At 37.7% G+C, this 19793-nt stretch overlaps 1 protein-coding gene across 50 annotated transcripts in view; it reads right to left on the bottom strand.

Annotated features, from left to right (window-relative positions):
* Positions 1-19793, bottom strand: part of BIRC6 (baculoviral IAP repeat containing 6) — a 261856-nt gene that overhangs the window by 209152 nt on the left and 32911 nt on the right. For all 50 annotated transcript variants that reach the window (XM_006712055.4, XM_005264451.5, XM_047445167.1 and 47 more), the window contains exons 5-9: positions 17577-17688; positions 14134-14216; positions 8342-8564; positions 8104-8264; positions 3170-3228 (exon numbers count right to left, since the gene is read on the bottom strand). In XM_006712055.4, the coding sequence (XP_006712118.1) occupies positions 3170-3228; positions 8104-8264; positions 8342-8564; positions 14134-14216; positions 17577-17688 (638 nt within the window). The remainder of the gene's footprint in view (positions 1-3169; positions 3229-8103; positions 8265-8341; positions 8565-14133; positions 14217-17576; positions 17689-19793) is intronic.

Raw genomic sequence — 19793 nt, 5'->3', positions numbered from 1 at the left:
ACCAAACTTCCTCAGGTAAGCAATTAGGTTTTATCTAGGCACTCTTTTAAAACTCAAATTTCAATTTGAGCCCTTCTTTAACTTCCTACCAAACATTCTTCTCAATCTTCACAAGAAGCCATGTATACTTAATTCTGATCTGTGGTTCAAATACCAAACTTTTCCCTATGCAGTCCTCTTAGATATCTTCAAACCTCATAACCTCCAACTAAAAAACAAATGTCTCTTTATCTGCACTCACATTTTTGAAATTAAGAAATATATTTCAATAGGCCGGGCACAGTGGCTCACACCTGTAATCCCAACACTTTGGGAGGCTGACGGAGGTGGATCACTTGAGGTCAGGAGTTCAAGACCAGCCTGGCCAACATGGTGAAGCCCTATCTCTACAAAAAATACAAAAATTAGGTGTGGTGGTGGGCGCCTGTAATCCCAGCTACTCGGGAGGCTGAGGCAGTAGAATTGCTTGAACCCAGGAGGCAGAGGTTGCAGTGAGCCAAGATCCGTGCCACTGCACTCCAGCCTGGGCAACAGAATGAGACTCCATCTCAAAACAAAAACAAAAACAAAAAAAAACAGAAAATAAATATATTTCATAATTCTTCAGATTGTATCATCCAATTTGATGAAAATCACTTAGAACTGTGATTTCCACCAAATTGGATATGCTCTGATAAGTCTGAAATGGTACCTTATCACTTTTTAGATACTTCAGGAAGAGAAGACACCAATCATTAATATCAAATATATATACATGACTACTCTATAAGCCTCCATAAAGTCACCAATGGTCTTCCAATATAACAAAATTAGTTTAGAAGATACATACTTTTACTGTGAATGAATAAGCTACTTACAAATCCTCAAATGAGGCAATTAAAAATTTTGAACTGGAAAGATATTTTCTCTTACCACAGCTACTGTTTAATACATAAAGACAATTTTTACACCCCTAAATGAAGTGCTATATGTAGTCGACAAAAATACATGATAATTTTCAAGACACTATTAGCTAAAGTAAACATGATTACAGTATCTTTAAAATGTGTGAAAAATCAAACAGGCATAGATGAAAAGAATAAAGGTAGAAAAAGGGTAAGAAAATTGGCCAAATACGAGTATTGTAACTGTAAAAACATGTACTGAGATCCTTAGACCCAGGGAAAATAACAAAACTATAGCACACAAAGGAAAGGTTCCAGTGACAATCAAAAAAAACTTAACATAGCAAACACTTTACAAAGGAAAAACTGAAGCCCACAGTTTAAGTAATTTAACAAGACCAAGGAGTTATTTTTTGAAAGAGTTCAAAAACTTGGCCGGGCGCAGTGGCTCACCTCTGTAATCCCAGCACTTTGGGAGGCTGAGGCAAGTGGATCACCTGAGGTCAGCAGCTCGAGACCAGCCTGGCCACAGAGGGACACTCCGTCTCAAAAAAACAAAAGAAAGAGCCAGGTCTGGCCGGGCACGGTGGCTCACGCCTGTAATCCTAGCACTTTAGGAGGCCAAGGTGGGCAGATCACCTGAGGTCAGGAGTTCAAGATGAGCCTGGCCAACATGGTGAAACCCCATCTCTACTAAAGATACAAAAATTAGTCAGGTGTGGTGGCAGGCACCTATAATCCCAGCTACTCACGAGGCTGAGGCAAGAGAATCCCTTGAACTCGGGAGGCGGATGTTGCAGTGAGCTGAGATCACACCACTGCACTCCAGCCTGGGCAACAGAGCAAGACTCTGTCTCAAAAAAAAAAGAAAGAAAGAAACAAAGAAAGAAAATGTAGTAGTAACCTCTTATGTTTTTGCAAAAGAACAAAATAGGAAAAGAGCATTAGCTTCCTCAGTCTATGTTTTTTTAAAAGAAAAAAAAACAATTTTTAACTTCTCTAGAACGAATTACACATTTGCACATTTTTAAGGGCATTTTCCTGCCTTATTTGGTGATTTTTTTTGTTCATTGCTAAGAACTGCTTCAAAAGACTGCTAAAGATTAACCCAAAATTGTCCAGTGTTCCATTTAGTGCCTTTCAAAAAAATCTGATGATAAAATTTAAAGAATATTTACTACCAAATGTTAACTATAATTTTTTTGAACTGTACTATACAAAACCATTCCTCTTCTAAAAAGATTTAAGTTATATATGTCCATAGTACACAGCATCTAACATTAAACAATAGCCACAATTTAATAATGGTCACTTTTTAAAAATACTGGGTACTTCCCAGGCACTACACTTTATATGAACTTATCTTATCTAAATCTTTTTTTTTTTTTTTTTTTTTTGAGACAGAGTTTCTCTCTTGTTGCCCAGGCTGGAGTGCAATGGCGCAATCTCAGCTCGCTGCAATCTCCGCCTCCCGGGTTCAAACGATTCTCCTGCCTCAGCCTCCTGAGTAACTGGGATAGGCATGCGCCACCACGCCTGGCTAATTGTTTTTTATTTTTAGTAGAAACGGGGTTTCACCATGTTGGCCAGGCTGGTCTCGAACTCCTGATCTCAGGTGATCCACCCGCTGTGGCCTCCCAAAGTGCTAGGATTACCGACGTAAGCCACCAAGCCTGGCCTAATTCTTAAAACTCTAAATAACAGACTTTAATACCACCATGCTATATATCAGGAAATGCAATCAGACTATATTAAGTAGAAGAGTTAGGATTTAAATTCTGACATAGTAAAACTATTTTGAAACATACTATTAGCTTTTCCTACAAAATAACATTAAAATACGAAGTATATTATTTTGCCCTAGTATCTTAAAAGCTAGTAAGGCAGCATTTACTTGATGTTTTAATGTCTATAATTTCACACATTAAAATGTAGTTCTTTATTCACCTACATGAATAAAGAGCTTTAAACACTACTTTTAGTTAACAGAATACATTATACAAATAAAAACATTTAATTACCTGACATATGTGACAAAACTTTAACGTAACTATCCACTGTAATTCCTTTGGCTCAAATAGGTACCATTTAAATTTTAAATATGGAACACTATGTACATACTACTAATTTGAGATCTCTGACACACAATATTTCAGTCTTCTGTGTATACTAGCAAAAATTTAGAGTTAGCATTAACTAAGAAATTCAGAATTAAGTGGTAGTTAGCTGTATGCACAACTGTGTAAAGAATTTTTTAAATACATTATCTAATACTTTTTACATACCTGTCACAGAATCTGATCTGGAATGCTCTTCACTGTCTGAATCCTCCAGTAAATCATCACTTAAATCAAAAAACAAAGTAAACAATTTGAATTTCAAAAAAAGTATACATCATATGAGAAAGCAAAGAAAAAAGAACAGTTGGTTTTGTGGGTTTTTTTGAGACAGGGTCTCAGTCTGTCATCCAGGCTGGAGTACAGTGGCAGGAACACAGCTCACTGCAGCCCTGACCTCCTCCTGGCCTCAACCAATCCTCCTGCCTCAGCCTCCCGTGTAGGTGGGACCACAGGCACACGCCACCATGCCCAGCTACTTTTTTCTTTTAATTTTTGCAGAGACGGGGTCTCACCATGTTGCCCAGGCTGGTCTTGAACCCTTGGGCTTAAGCAATCTTCCCACCTCTACCTCTCAAAGTCCTGGGATTATACGCATGAGCCACTATGCCTGGCCTGAAAGTACAGTGTTAAAATCACTACTACACATCTCAACCATATAATTAAAATAGGCTTAAATGATATATAAAGAGTAGTTTGATATCATAACTGATTAACAACACTGACAAAAATCTTCTTAAATCATTAAATAAATGCCTAACTGAAATAGGGTATGGAAACCTCCAAGAATCCATAATAACATTTGTAGGAATTTGAAGACTACTGTGTGACTAAGGACAGTTTGGGCAAACAAAAATATAAAAGACAGCAGCAACTAATAAAATCAAGCACCAGCTTGCAGTAGTAAAGCATTAAGAACTATTCTATTACTGAATTCAGGACAGCCTAAAACCAAACATAATAGTTGTATAAGCAAGTGTGTATGTTTGTGTACTCACATGTACATGCAATTTTATTTTTGTTCTGTATTTTGTTTTGGAGAGGCTAAGAACTCCTTTACATATAGGAAAACTATGACAACTCAGAAGATGGGGGTCATCAAGACAAGACAAAGTCTTGTCTCTATCTCCTGACCTTGTGATCCTCCCGCCTCGGTCTCCCAAAGTGCTGGGATTACAAACATAAGCCACCGCACCTGGCCTACGATGTTATTTTATACAGAATATGAAGTGGTATTCCGCACTGAAAATGCTTAAGGATATTACTGCACTCCAAGGCAATGTTTGAAATATTTTGCGGCGGCTGGGGGAAATTCACTTATATATTTTTGAAAAAGTTTCTCTGTTTTAGTTTTTTCAGGTGATAACAGTTGCCCATAAACCAATTTAATGCTGTAATTTACAAAAGCAAAAAATGCAAAAAAAGTTTAAAATCAGCTGCTAATTCATTAGCCTAATTGGCTGGTTTCAGAGAAACAGAGTAAGTGTAAAAATGAATCCCAAGAAGAAATATTAATAATTGGGAATTATCAAGAATGAAGAAGTCCAAACCAAGAAAACAGGTTTTAAGTATAGAATGGCTGCCCATTAAAGAAAAATAAATAACCAAGTATTAACCTGCTGTACTAAGATGAACAATAAAATTAAGTAGTAGTATGTTTTAAAGGAATTCAGGTGTCTTGATATTTCAAAGACAGTTGCCAGATAAAAGCCTTAAATTAGCAAAGAATGTTTTATTCTGAAAGTTCTCAAAAATATAATCAGGCAACAGGCACAGTGACTCACACCTGTAATCCCAGCACTTTGGGAGGACAAGGAGGGAGGACTGCTTGAGCCCAGGAATTCGAGACCAGCCTGGGCAACACAGTGAGACCCCATCTCCACAAAAAAATAAAAAATTAGCTGGGCATGGTGGTACATGCCTTTAGTCCCAGCTACTTAGAAGGCTGAGGTAGAAGGATGACTTGAGCCCAGGAGGTAAAGGGTGCAGTGAGCCGTGAGCCCGGGTGACAGAGCAAGACCTTGTTTCAAGAGAAAAAAAAAAATTATATATATATATTTGTAAAATCACATTCTTTTAAAATATTTTGTGACAAAAACATTTTATGGCTAAGGCCAGATGCAGTGGCTCACACCTATAATCCCAGCACTTTTGGAGGCTGAAGCAGGCACATCACGTGAGGCCCGGAGTTTGAGACCAGCCTGGCCAACATGGTGAAACCCGTCTCTACTAAAAATACAAAATTTACCCAGGCATGGTGGCACGGGTCAGTCCCAGCTACTCAGGAGACTGAGGCACAAGAATCACTTGAACCTGGGAGGCAGAGATTGCAGTGAACCAGGATCGCACCACTGCACTCCAGCATGGGCGACAGAGCAAGACTCTCTCAAAAAAAAAGAAAAAAAATTATATGAATAAAATAACTAAATTGTACACTTACATGAATTGTATGGTTTGAAAATTACACTTCAATAAAACTTTTTAAAAAATCACATGCGGCTGGGCGTGGTGCTCACGCCTGTAATCCCAGCACTCTGGGAGGCCAAGGCAGGTGGATCATCTGAGGTCCGGAGTTCGAGAACAGCCTGGCCAACATGGAGAAACCCTTTCTCTACTAAAAATACAAAAAATTAGCCAGGAGGGGTCGTGGGCACCTGTAGTCCCAGCTACTCAAGGAGGCTAAGGCAGAAAAATCATTTGAACCTGGGAGGCAGAGGTTGCTGTGAGCCAAGATTGCGCCACTGCACTCTAACCTGGGCGACAGGGTGAGACTCTGTCTCCAAAAAAAAAAAAAAAACACACACACATTTTAAAAAGAAACTAGAATACATATAAATGTTACCATAATCCCATAGTGTGATTATGACTACTCTATATTTCATCAATTTCCACTCCTGCATTTTCCCATTTTCCTGCAATAAGCATGCACTATTTATATAATAGGCACTGTATTTACTAAAGCCTTCTACATTTTGCAAAACCTTTTACAAAGCAATAAACATGCAAAATAAATATTATGGTTAAAGTAAAAATGTTTAGTTAAGATTATATGTGTTTCTGAAAAACAGACATACTAATATTGTAACAGTACCTTGGTTTACAGCAATCCCATAAACAATTTCATTTACATTCAAGGAATTTTTACCAACTTGACCTGATATACAAATGACAAGTGAATCATCTAGAAGAAATCTTAATTCATTAAAATTAAATGTATTAGCATATCTTCTTCCTTAATTCAGAAGACAAATATAGTCTTCTAAGAAAAAATTGTCAAAAACAATTCCTTAGTCCTTCAATGTAAATAAGAAATAAAAACAAATTTTACAAAAACTATTCTAAGCAAACTATATTGCTAATTACTTTAAACTTCTTGGATAAGCTTAGATTTTTCCAATTAATGTATTATTCTTCAAGCTAATGAAACCCACATAGTATATTTTATAACCAAACATATTGGATCTTGTGTCACATAAAGTGAGAGGTAGTGTGGCTCATTATATTCACTATCAATTCCAACAGGACTGCTCCTACTTCTTGGGGAGGGGAAGTGAAGAGAGGGGGCTTAAGGTTAGGGATGAAGTTTCACCTCTTCAGCTTCCTCCTACCACATCAACTTAATGTTTTTGTATGATTTGTTTGAGACTTTCTTCAGAGAAAATTGACCTTCGACCCTAGATTGTGAATTTCTTAAAAGCAAGTAGAGATTACCTCAACTCAAGCACATTACCCCATATAATGTTGAGAAGTATTTCCACTAATAATACAGAATACATGTTTATCTAAAATGCAGATTTTACCTAGGAGGGTGTGACTATATGTGTATGGGTGTATGTAATCCTAGAAGTATATTTTGATTCCATTTTTAATCCCCAAATTACAAAACTTCAAGACAAAGTTCAAATTAAAGTAAGTGCCTAGAAGGACATATAAATTTCATTATCTTCTATTACTTTTCCACTAACTTCTAAGAAATCACAGAAATTAAGCATGCTTAATATCTAGTCCTATTGGCAAAATATGGTCAGAAACTCAGACAACAGTTAAGCTGCTTTCCCATTAAGCTTTCACAGAGATTTATATTAATAGAACAACCACAAGGCTTTAATCAACATGTTATTACCAAGAGGAACTAGACAGAAGTAACACATATATTGTAAATTTTCCACTAATTCCATTAATGAAATAATTTCCATTAATAAAACTTTACATTATTCCTTAATGAAAGGACATCCCACCAAAGGGGTTGTGAAGTAAAATGATAAATCACTGACTACAGAGTAACACCCATCACATGTCAGTAACATAAGGAGCCCCTGGAAGTGAAATGGCAGATATTCTCAGTCTATCAAGACATCTGATCACAGTTAAATAGCTCCATTTCACATGGCTGCCTACACAATCTTCTTCCCCTCCACCTACAGAATCTTACTAGCCCAGTTCAGTCAAAACCACAGTGGTTCTTAGGAAACAAGTGGGTGAAAGAGGGTGATACTTTGACTCTCCCACCCCACCACAAAAATCAGGAATCTCTCAGAGAAGTTGAGTGAAGGAGAATCCAGAACAGCAATTTTACCAAAATATTTCTATAGCAATAATTATGGTATCTCAACTCACTGCTGACTACTGGTACACTGTTTTAAACAATTAGATCCTCTTGCCTCACCTCAGGTCATCCCATTATTATTATTCATTAGCACTGCCATAATTTGAGGTGCTAATGAAAAAACGGAAACTGAAATCATCTAGTTCGAATGCTCTATGAAAAGATTTAGCAGAAGGTGAAACTACAATAGAATTTCATTTCATTATTTAGACTTTCCAATGTTGACTTTTCATCATCTATTGTTCAATGTGGCAATTATTTCCAATTGACATAGATTGTGATAGAAAGTTAAGCATATTTTATAAACTACGGTGTTTCTGAATGAAGATTTTTCTTCAAGAATCACAGATTTCAGATTTCTAACCAAACATTTACTCTCTGATCTCTTAACTGCGTAACTTTTTTTTCCTCCTCTTTAATTATTAGAACTATGAGAATATAAAATTTAGGAAAACATGTAACATCTATTAAATACTACTAAAACAAACTCACATACCTATCTCCTTCCAATTTTGGTATATCTGAGCAACTAGAGGAGTCCTCCAGCCACGCCAAAGTTGGTCTCCTTGAATCAACTCCTGAGCTTGGGTCTCCTGATAGAATAAGCTGTTGTACAATTGCTGGATCATAGGCATTAATTTCAAACTTTAAGTGCACCTAAACAAATGAAAAGCCTAAGTTTACAACTGATCTTTTTTCAATTACTAATTTGTTACTTCAAAATTCAAACATACCTTCATAAGTTTGGAAACATCCCATATGCAGATCTTTCCTCGTTTAGTTGCAGCAGCTAGAAAATGAGGGCAGCTCCCCGACCCAAAGCAAGATATTCTGTCAGTTCCATCCGTACAAGGAAACTGTGCAGGACTTGTTGCAAGAGTGACTGACAATGGCACATTCTGTGTGTGCTCACCTTTCACAAATGGGCAGTTTGGGGAATGTCTTTCGTGTTCAGACCTTTGCATAGATTTAGAAAGGAAAAGTTTACTAAAAATAAAGCAATTCAGTTTGTACATTAAAACAGAACTCCAGGATCATCATCTTTTTTTAACTGAACTTAAAGTATTCATCATTAAAGACTTAATATAACCAAATCATTCAGTTTTATGAAGATCACTCTAACATGTTCAACCGTTTACAAATTCACACATTCAATATTCCAAACATTCAACAATAGCAGTTGTTACTCACTTTAACTGATTATAAAGTCAATCTCAGAAAAAACTGAAAAACCAATACAATGCTATATTACATACTACAAAATTGTTTAAACTCCTGTTATTTCCTCACACTGGTTTCCTACAGCTTTGAATGATTAACTACTATGTTTCAATTTAAAATTCTCCATATCTATCAGGGGCCACAACTATAAATGATATACAGCTGAAACTCGATAAATGCCACTCATAACACAAAAAGTTATTTTACTAAATATTTTACTAAATTATTTTACTAAAAAGTTTTTTAGTAAAGATCTGAAGGCAGCCGGGTGCGGTGGCTCATGCCTGTAATCCCAACACTTTGGGAGGCTGAGGCGGGTGGATCATGAGGTCAGGAGTTCGACGCCAGCCTGACCAACACGGTGAAACCCCGTCTCTACTAAAAATACGAAAATTAGCTGGGCATGGTGGTGGGCGCCCGTAATCCCAGCTACTCAGGAGGCTGAGGCAGAAGAATTGCTTGAACCCAGGAGGCGGAGGCTGCAGTGAGCCGAGATCGCGCCACTGCACTCCAGCCTGGGCAACGGAGTGAGACTCCACCTCAAAAAAAAAAAAAAAAAAAAGATCTGAAAGCAGAAAGATCTCTAGTATGAATAAAATAATATATATTAAGAACACAGAAATATACCTTATGTATTCACTATAGGATCAAATCAGACAAATAACTTTTAAATAAAATTTATTTCCTAAGAGCCTTAGGAATGTAAAGTTCATAAATTATACACTACTTCTTTCAAATAAATGCTTACTGAGCGAGAAGAAATGTTAAATTAAAAACATAACAAGTTTAAGAAATATAAAATACAGGCTGGGCACCGTGGCTCACACCTGTAATCCCAGCACTTCGGGGGGCCAAGGTGGTTGGATCCTTGAGGCCAGAAGATTGAGACCAGCCTAGGCAACATAGTGAGACCTCATTGCTACAAAAAATAAAAATAAAAATAATTAGCTGGGTGTGGTAGCATGTGCCTGTATTCCCAGCTACTCGGGAGACTCAGGTAGGAAGATCCCTCGAGCCTGGGTGTTCAAGGCTGCAGTGAGCTACGATCGTGCCACTGCACTCCAGCCTGAGCAACAGAGCAAGACCCTGTCTCTAAAAAATAAAAAATTTAAAAATTTAAATTAAAATATAAAAATAAAATACTAGGACCTCATATCAAGACTGGTATAATGACTTTAAGAATTATCTCAAATATTGTAAGCAGGATCAACTTAGCACCTATCTGCTCAACTTTATGATTCCTTTATATTTCTTTCTGGTTATTCCTTATTTTTATTTCTATTAGCTATAATTATAAGGCATTAGAAATGTCAGGATCCTGCTACCAAAACAAGAACCCATGAGCCAGGCGTGATGGTAAAGCATATAGTCCCAGTTAGTCAGGAGGCTGAGGCAGGAGGACTGCTTAAGCCCAAGAATATGAGGCTGCAGTAAGCTATGATCACACCTGTGTATAGCCATTGCACTTCAGCCTGGACAATATAGCAAGACCCCGTATCTAAAAAATAAAATAGGCTGGGCGTGGTGGCTCACGCCTGTAATCCCACCACTTTGGGAGGCTGAGATGGGTGCATCACTTGAGGTCAGGAGTTCCAGACCAGCCTGGCCAACATGGGGAAACCCCATCTCTACTAAAAATACATATATTAGCTAGGCATTGTGGCGCACACCTGTAGTCCCAGCTACTTGGGAAACTGAGGCACGAGACTCTCTTGAACCTGGGAGGCAAGGGTTGCAGTGAACCAAGATCGCGCCACTGCACTCCAGCCTGGGCAACAAAGTAAGACTGTGTCTCCAAAAAAATAAATAAATAAATAAATAAAATTTTAAAAATAAATGTTTCTTAAAGAACCATTGTTTTTAAACTCATTGTTTTATTTCCATGGCAAAGAAAGAACTTTACACATAAAACATGCTACTCCTTAAAATGTATGTATTTCTTTTTACAATGCACCTACAACTTACATATATAAATCCATCTATAAATCCTGGGCAATTTTTAATATGTAGATGTCTTTCCTAAATCCTTTTACAGTGCACTTCCAAGCAAATGACATTTGGGCCAGGTTCCCTCCCAGCTAAATCTAGCGTACCTTACCCCTTTCCGTCTCTCTCTCTTTCCTGAGTTTTAACTTTTTCAATAAAATTTTATTTATATAAGTTACACGCGGCTATATAAAATAAAGCTAAAGACCCACATCAATTTTAAAATCTAATCCCAATAATTTCCAATCCCACCTCCAGGAAACCACCATTATAAATTTAAGTGATACATTTCTAAAATATTTTTTAAGTTTACATACATAAATGTACATATAGAAAATACATGATGTGGAAGTATGTATGAAAAAAAATTTTAAAAATAAAATACAGGGTCTTAAATTGTTAAACAATTGGTGTCACTGTACATGACACATATACATTTTATCATGTATCCAATCATCTACCATTCTATTAACACGAAAGATTTCTTGATACAGTAACATATCTGAAAGTTACTGAGGGTGATTAACAGAGATCTTACTGTTCATTCCCCTTAACTGTTGGACCACAGTCTATTATATGAACATAGCACATTCTATTTGGCTATTCCCCTCCTGATTGGCATTTAAAAGGATTCCGATTTTTAACTGCAGTGACCATCCACTTTATGCCTCTGTGCCTACAAGAGCAATTAACTCCCTAGGGTACGTAAATAGAAGTGGAATTGCTAGTTACTAGGGTATGGTCCATTTTTTATGTTTTTAACTTCAACCTCCCTCCAAAGTAACTCTCTATCAACTCGCACAGTCAAAATATGAGTCCCATTCGCCCTTTCAAATTTTTCCTTTCCCCTTTACAATTCAGAAGGTGCCTAGGTTCCCCAGCCTCCATCAATCCTCTTCCCTCCTACCCATTTGGAAGACTTGCCCCAGGTCTTAAGAGACCAAATCAACTTCTTGAGTGTTTGAGGAATCCCAAATGCTGGTGCAAAGAAGAGGTAGACTCCCTGAATCCCTGGCCATGTCAAGAAAACATGGGTTTTCAGTATCCCAAGTTAGAAATTTTAATCAACTTTCCATAGAAAATATTTACAAAGAAAATAATATTTGATAATACTGTATAACTTTTCAGGTATAGGTTAAATAACTTTTTGAGGATTGGCATAGGGACCTAAAAAATATATACTAAAATGGTGTATATATGTGTGTGTGTGTGTGTGTGTACATATATATGTGTGTGTGTATATATATATACACATATATGTGTGTGTGTGTGTATATATATACATATATATATATACACACATATATACACACACACACACACACACACACACACACAGCCTTTACGGGGAAAGACAATTCCAAACAGAAACTCAACTTAAACTGAAAATTGCTCATGCAACAGGTCCCCCTCTTATCCACAGCTTCACTCTTTTTTTTTGAGATGGAGTTTCACTCTTGTTGCCCAAGCTTGAGTGCAATGGTACAATCTCGGCTCACTGCAACCTCCGCCTCCCCAGTTCAAGTGATTCTCCTGCCTCACCCTCCCGAGTAGCTGGAATTACAGGTGCACACCACCACGCCCAGATAATTTATTGTATCTTTAGCAGAGACGGGGTTTCACCATGTTAGCCAGGCTAGTCTTGAACTCTTGACCTCAGGTGATCCACCCGCCTCGGCCTCCCAAAGTGCTGGGATTATAGGCGTGAGCCACCATGCCTGGCCCACAGCTTCACTCTCTATGGTTTCAGTTACCCATGGTCAACCATGGTCCCAAAATAGATGAGTACAGTACAGTAAGATATTTGGAGAGAGAGAAACACAGACAGACTGACCACAGTCACAGAACTTTTATTACAGTATATTGTTAAAATTGTTCAATTTTAGGCCGGGCGCAGTGGCTCACGCCTGTAATCCCAACACTTCGGAAGGCTGAGGTGGGTGGATCACCTGAGCTCAGGAGTTCGAGACCAACCTGGCAAACATGGCGAAACCCCGTCTCTACTAAAAACACAAAAATCAGCCGGGTGTGGTGGCCCACGCACACCTGTACTCCCAGCTACTCGGGAGGCTGAGGCAGGAGAATCGCCTGAACCCGGGAGGTAGAGGTTGCAGTGAGCCGAGATCGCGCCACTGCACTCCAGTCTGGGCAACAGAGCAAGACTCCATCTGAAGGGAAAAAAAATGTTCAATTTTATTAGTTATTGTTATTAATCTCTTTCTGTGCTTAATTTATGAATTATACTTTATCATAGGTTATGGATGTATAGGGAAAAAAATATAGTATGTATATGGTTCAGTACTATCTGCTGTTTCAGGTATCCAATGGGTCCTGGAATGCATGCCCTGCAAATAAGGGGGACTACTGTATTCAACTCTCTGCCTGCAGATAGATACAACTTGAATTTTTCATACAGTATTTTCCAATCTGAACTCCATAGGTACACTGCAATACGTTTTAGCAAGTTTGCCCCATGCACATCAGCTGATTTAACATTCAGAGACTTCAAACTAATTTTCATACAAAATAAGCAACATATCCTAAAACCAAACCCTGGCTCTATCACTAGCCATATGCCCTTCAGCAAATTTTATTCTCTTCATTTTAAAATGGGATAGTAACTCCTATCTCATAGAGTGACTGTAAAGGTTAAACTGGAAAATATTCATAGTTCCCTCCTATAAAATGGAGATTACAATAGTACCTACTTCACAGGGAAACATGAGAATTAAATGATTTAAAAATACATAAAGTATTCAGAATGGTACCTAGTATACCATCTTATATAAATATTTGCTATAATAATATACTATTATTTCTATTAATAAGACCTCAGAATAGTTATTTGTAAAAATGAAGTTTCAATACATGATCTCTAATGTTTAACCAGGTTCTAAAATTTCATGCACTAAAATTCAGAGACATCAAAGACTCCCTAAAATTACTTCAAAATTAGAAATGTATACTATAAGGCTCTCTCCATGGATTCCCTACTGACAACATGCTCTCAACAGACCAAGATTCAACTGCTGAAGCTCACGCTGGAGTTCACTTTACCATAGCTTTCCGGTTTTCGTTAGAGCGTGGTTCTACTGTTTGGTACTTCCCTTGTGTACAATTTTTAGAAAGTCAAACTTACAGACACTGTATGCCAAGTGGTGTGCCAGAGTATAGACAGGGCTAGCTCATTCTCAGGACAATGACAAAAATATAGGTGGCAAAAAGGCAAAAAATTATATCATAAGCAGAAAAGTAAAATTTAGAAGCATTATTTACACGACTGACTTAGCCTATTATGCCCAGAAACATCAAGACTCACCAAGGTTCATCAGTAGGTTCCCAACAAACGAGGCATACACTACAAGTAAAACACATGGCTCTATCATCTCCAGATGAGGCAGGCTGCAAAATTATAAAGAAAAGAGACAGAAAAGGTAAATCATTATTAAAATAGCTTTATAATAAAAGTTATTTTTAAAAGTTCATAATTTTAAGTAAAATTCTATACTGAAAATAAGAAAATTAGCCTATAATATTAGGTCCAACAATACACTGAAACCTCCAAATATTTATTAATTGCCTGCATTATTTGAAAATTCAGAAAATGACCACTAAATCAAAGAGAGGTACACATATATGCAATCCCTGATCTAGTACTTTTCTCATTGCTATACTAAAGCATCTGAAATATTAAGTATAAGAGAAAGAGTCTGGCTGGTTTACACTATTTGTTTCTGTTGTTGTCGTTGTTGCTGTTTTTGAGACTGAGTCTCGCTCTGTCACCCAGGCTGGAGTGCAGTGGCGCAATCTCGGCTCACTGCAAGCTCCACCTCCCCGGGTTCAAGCGATTATCCTGCCTCAGCCTCCCGAGTGGCTGGGACTACAGGCGCCTGCCACCACGCCCAGCTAATTTTTTTTGTATTTTTAGTAGAGATGGGGTTTCACCGTGTTAGCCAGGATGGTCTCAATCTCCTGATCCTGTGATCCACCCCTCTCAGCCTCCCAGAGTGCTGGAATTACAGGCGTGAGCCCTGCACCCAGCCTCTTGTTGTTTTTTTAAAGAGACAGAGTCTCTTTAAAACTTTCTCTTTTAAAGAGACAGAGTCTCAGACTGGAGTGCAATGGCACAATCATAGCTGACTATAGCCCTGAACTCGTGGGCACAAGTGATCCTCCAACCTCAGCCCCCCAGCTGGAACTACAGAAGTGTTTCATGACACCCAGCTAATTCTGTTATTTTTTTTGTAGAGACATGGTCTCCTTACAGCATCCAGGCTGGTCTCAAATTCCTGGGCTTAAGCGATCCTCCTGCCTTGGCCTCCCTAAGTGCTGGGATTACAAGTGTGAGCCACTGCACCAGCCAATGGGTTTATTATTAAATACTCAATCACATACAACTGAACAAGAAGGGCAAGTAAAAAGGGAAAGCAAAGTAGTCAATCTAATTCACATAATATGGAATCTAATTCATACAACATAGGACAAAATGCTATATATATTTCAATTCAAGGGCCAGGCACAATTTATATATATATGTATATATTTTCAAAACCTGAACTGAAATATACCTGAAAACTAATATTAATATTTGTGAACATTTACGTTATAGATGCAAATTTACTATACATTTTAGAAGATTAAAATAATCAGCCCCTAACATTTCCTAGAATCAGAGTATTCTAGGAAACCTATTATTTGACCTCTCTGCAAAGACAGAATATAATGAACAATAACTCAACAGAAAGAAAAAAAAAAAATCAAGGCATCACTTAACAGAGACTCTTAGAAAATTACACCAAATTAAAAGAAAGACAAGTTGCTAGAAAAATGGTCCATGTTCAATCCTTAATTTAGAGAAATTATTTCACTGATTCTAATATTAGCCAGTCTCCAAACTTACCTATCTGTAACAGGAAATCTGACAAACTTTGAATAAAATATTCATATATATATATATATATATATAGTTTTCTGGTTTAATTTTAGTAAAGATGTTCAGAATACTTGAAGATAACGAAGGAATAATCAATCTTCAGATTCTAAATGACAGTTACTTTAACGTACTTCAAAATGTACTTGAATTCTTAAATTAGGCCAGGCGCAGTGGCTTACACCTGTAATCACAATACTTTAGAAGGTTAAGGCAGGCAAACTGCCTGAGCCCAGAAGTTTGAAACCAGCCTGGGCAACACAGTGAAATCTCATCTCTACAAAAAATAAACAGAATTAGCTGGGAATGGTGGCACATGCCTGTAATCCCAGCTACTTGAGGGGCTAAGGTGGGAGAATTGTTTGGAAGCTGAGGCTGCAGTGAGCTGTGGCACAGTGAGCTGTGATCATGCCACTGCACTCCAACTTGGGTTGACAGAGCAAGACCCTGTCCCAAATAAATAAATAAATAAAGTTAAATAACCATGCTTTATTTAAACTGACATATAAGTATTAGATTTCTTAGATTCTTTTAGCAGTGGTAACAGTGGTAAGCCACTCTATACCACTCAGTTTAAGTTTCCTATTAAATAACATATTACATCTAGCTAAAATCATTTTTCTTAACTTCCCTCTAATTCAGCAAAGCTTTTTATAATGTCCCATTCTTATGCCTCTGTATCGTGTTAATCCTTACACTTTATACTCTCCTCTTTTCCTACACAAAACTATGACTGTTTTTCTTGACTAATTCTTCCTCTACCTATGCAACTTAATCAGTTCTTTAATGCACAGATATTCAAGTTGCAATGCACTACCTGTAATGCTGCTTCTGTAGTTATCTAGTATATGGGTAATTTGTATCCCAACTAAAATGAGAATTTCGAAACTGTAAAACTGCTTTTATTGCATTACCCTAAGCATCTACTACTGTGTTATGAATGCAGATGTCAAACACTGGAAATAAACATGCATCAAAAGAGAATACTTGTCAGAAACCAAATCTGAAGAATACTATTTGTTGATTTTATAAAAAAAATTATGGCCTAGCACAGTGTCTCACACTTATAATCCCAACACTTTGGGGAGGATGAGGTGCGTAGATCACTTGAGCAGGAGTTCGAGACCAGTCTGGGCAACACCAGAAACCCTGTGTCTACCAAAAAAAAAAAAAATTAGGTTGGTGCAAAAGTTAGCCAGGCCCAGTGGCACACACCTGTAGTCTCAGCTACTCAGGGAGGCTGAGGTGGGCGGATCACCTGTGCCTGGGAAGGTTGAGACTGAAGTGAGTGGTGATAGGGCCACTGTACTCCAGCGTGGGCAACAGAGTGAGACCCTGTCTCAAAGACAAAAAATAAAAATAATTGTTTTTTAAAAAAGTTGTATCTAATCTTAAAGAAAATACTCAGTTGTTAATTGCTTAAACAATTTTTTTCCTGGCCTGGCATGCCTGTAATCCCAGCACTTTGGGAGGCCGAGGCAGGCAGATCACCTGAGGTCAGGAGTTTGAGACCAGCCTTGGCAACATGGTGAAACCCCATCTCTACTAAAAATACAAAAATTAGCCAGGTGTGATGGTGCACACCTGTATTCCCAGCTACTCAAGGAGGCTGAGGCACAGGAATCACTTGAACCTGAGAGGCGGAGGTTGCAGTTGAGCCAACATTGTGGCGCTGCACTCCAGCCTGGGCCAAAAAAACAAGCATCCATGCATACAAGCAAGCATACAAGGTGCACAAAATAAGTTTCTGAAAAAGTTAAAAAAATGTGATAATTTTGCTGAGGGCTACAAAGGCCTACTGAGAAAAGTATTTTTTTATATTCTTTTTTTACCTGATGATAAAATCCAGCTTGAGCCATGGGATCTGGTTGTGCCCACCTATAGCCTACATGAGGCCATGAGGTAAATGTCTCCCGTCTGTTAGCTTCACTATACATCAGTGATCTAAAAGTAAACATACTTTATGTAATTGAAGTTAGGCATCAAATCACAGTGAAACTTCTATTTAACAATGCAAAAAATAATTTTACTGGGTTATCAGCAAAAACTGCAAATGGTCTGATGAACAAGTTCAATTTTTTACTTTAAACTAAAAACGGTAATTTTTGGGAATTTCCCTTAAACAGAAAGGGAAGGAGAAAACCTGATTGGTGGCTGCAGTTGATAAACAACTCCAGGGGTAGATTACATATGTTTTCATATTAAAATATATCAGCTCACTAAGAGTCAAACTATAACAGAAAGTACCAGAGTAATTTTTTAAAGGACGATAGTAAACTTTTTGAGAAGTCCAAAAGATTTTTAGTAAGAAAGGATTGATAAGCAAAGCTTATTCATCCTAACATAAAATTACAACTGATAACAGAAAGAAAAAGTGGTAAAGGTCATGACAAAGAAAACAGGAAAATACTCTTCTAAATTCTTCCCTTAAATTAGCACATGATTTTCTATAAAATTGCTAGTAACTTTAGGTTTACTCGTAGTTGTATTCAGGTTTTTAAACAAATAGCTGTTTGGTTAGAAATGCATTCTCAGTTTCACATTATATGTGTCTTTAGGATCAGTCTTAGAACAGAAGACCTATCTCATTTCGTTATATTACCCAATAAAACAGCAGTAGCATCCAATAGACCCTAACTCAAACCTTCCACAGACCTAAGTTCATCAAAGCCTTCAGAGGCTCCTAGATTGATTTTTAATGAAAAAAACACCACAGTCTGTATCAAAATTAATATTTTAGGACATTTTTAACACCTCTAAAAATACTGAATATCCCATCTAATGGCTGCATTTCCTAAAATATAACATTTACCACAGCTTGCACTGATTTCTTTAGAAACACTGCAACTGTTTGCAAAGAAAATAGCTCTGCAGAGCTGACTCTTTTATAATCTCAAAATAGGCATAGATCTCAGACAAGAAGCACTTGTTCTAATTACGTATTTTTCTTTTTTCCCATCTCAGGCATATCCCAAAGAATATTTTAATGACAGCCATAGCACATATCACCAGATAATCTGATTAAAAATGATAGTCTGCATGTTGCCCAAGAGATTACTACTACAGAATATAAAAATTCTGCCCAATTGTTAATACGACTAATAAAAGTTATATATGTAACAACAAAATCACTTAACTAACAAAAAGAGGGTAAGTGATTACGCAGAAATCAGTTTACCAAAAGATAAATTAATAAATATTGCTACTGAACTAGAAGAGCCATACTAAAAATAATAGAAGTTTAAAATGAATTTATTCAGTAGTGCCTTTGATAACATCTGCACATACTATTTATAAATGTACTTCAGAAAGATGCTTAGGAAATTACAAGTCACATCCAATGAAAATGTAAAAATATAAATACTACAGCTGGGCACAGTGGCTCACACCTGTAATCCCAGCACTCTAGGAGGCCAAGACGGGTAGATCACCTTGAGGTCAGGAGTTCGAGACCAGCCTGGCCAACATGGTGAAACCCTGTCTTTACTAAAAATACAAAAAATGAGCCAGGCATGCCGGGTGCAGTGGCTCACGCCTGTAATCCCAGCACTTTGGGCGGCCAAGGTGGGTGGATCATAAGGTCAGGAGCTCGAGACCATCCTGGCTAACACGGTGAAACCCCACCTGTACTAAAAATACAAAAAATTAGCTGGGCATGGTGGCGGGCACCTGTAGTCACAGCTACTCGGGAGGCTGAGGCAGGAGAATGGCATGAACATGGGAGGCGGAGCTCGCAGTGAGCCAAGATCATGCCACTGAACTCCAGCCTGGGCAACAGAGCGAGACTCCATCTCAAAACAAAAATATAAAAAAAAGAAAATTTGGCTGGGTGCCATGGCTCATGCCTGTAATCCCAGCACTTTGGGAGGCCAAGGCAGGTAGATCACCTGAGGTAGGGAGTTCGACACCAGCCTGACCAACACAGAGAAACACTGTCTCTACTAAAAATACAAAATTAGCCCCGGTATGGTGGCACATGTCTGTAATCCCAGCTACCAAGGAGGCTGAGGCAGGAGAATTGCTTGAATCTGGGAGGCAGAGGTTGCGGT

The sequence above is a fragment of the Homo sapiens genome, chromosome 2 (assembly GCF_000001405.40).
Source record: "Homo sapiens chromosome 2, GRCh38.p14 Primary Assembly".
Classification (NCBI taxonomy): Eukaryota; Metazoa; Chordata; class Mammalia; order Primates; family Hominidae; genus Homo; species Homo sapiens.
The sequence above is the reverse complement of the archived record's forward strand: the minus strand, read 5'-3'. Positions and strand labels throughout refer to the sequence as shown.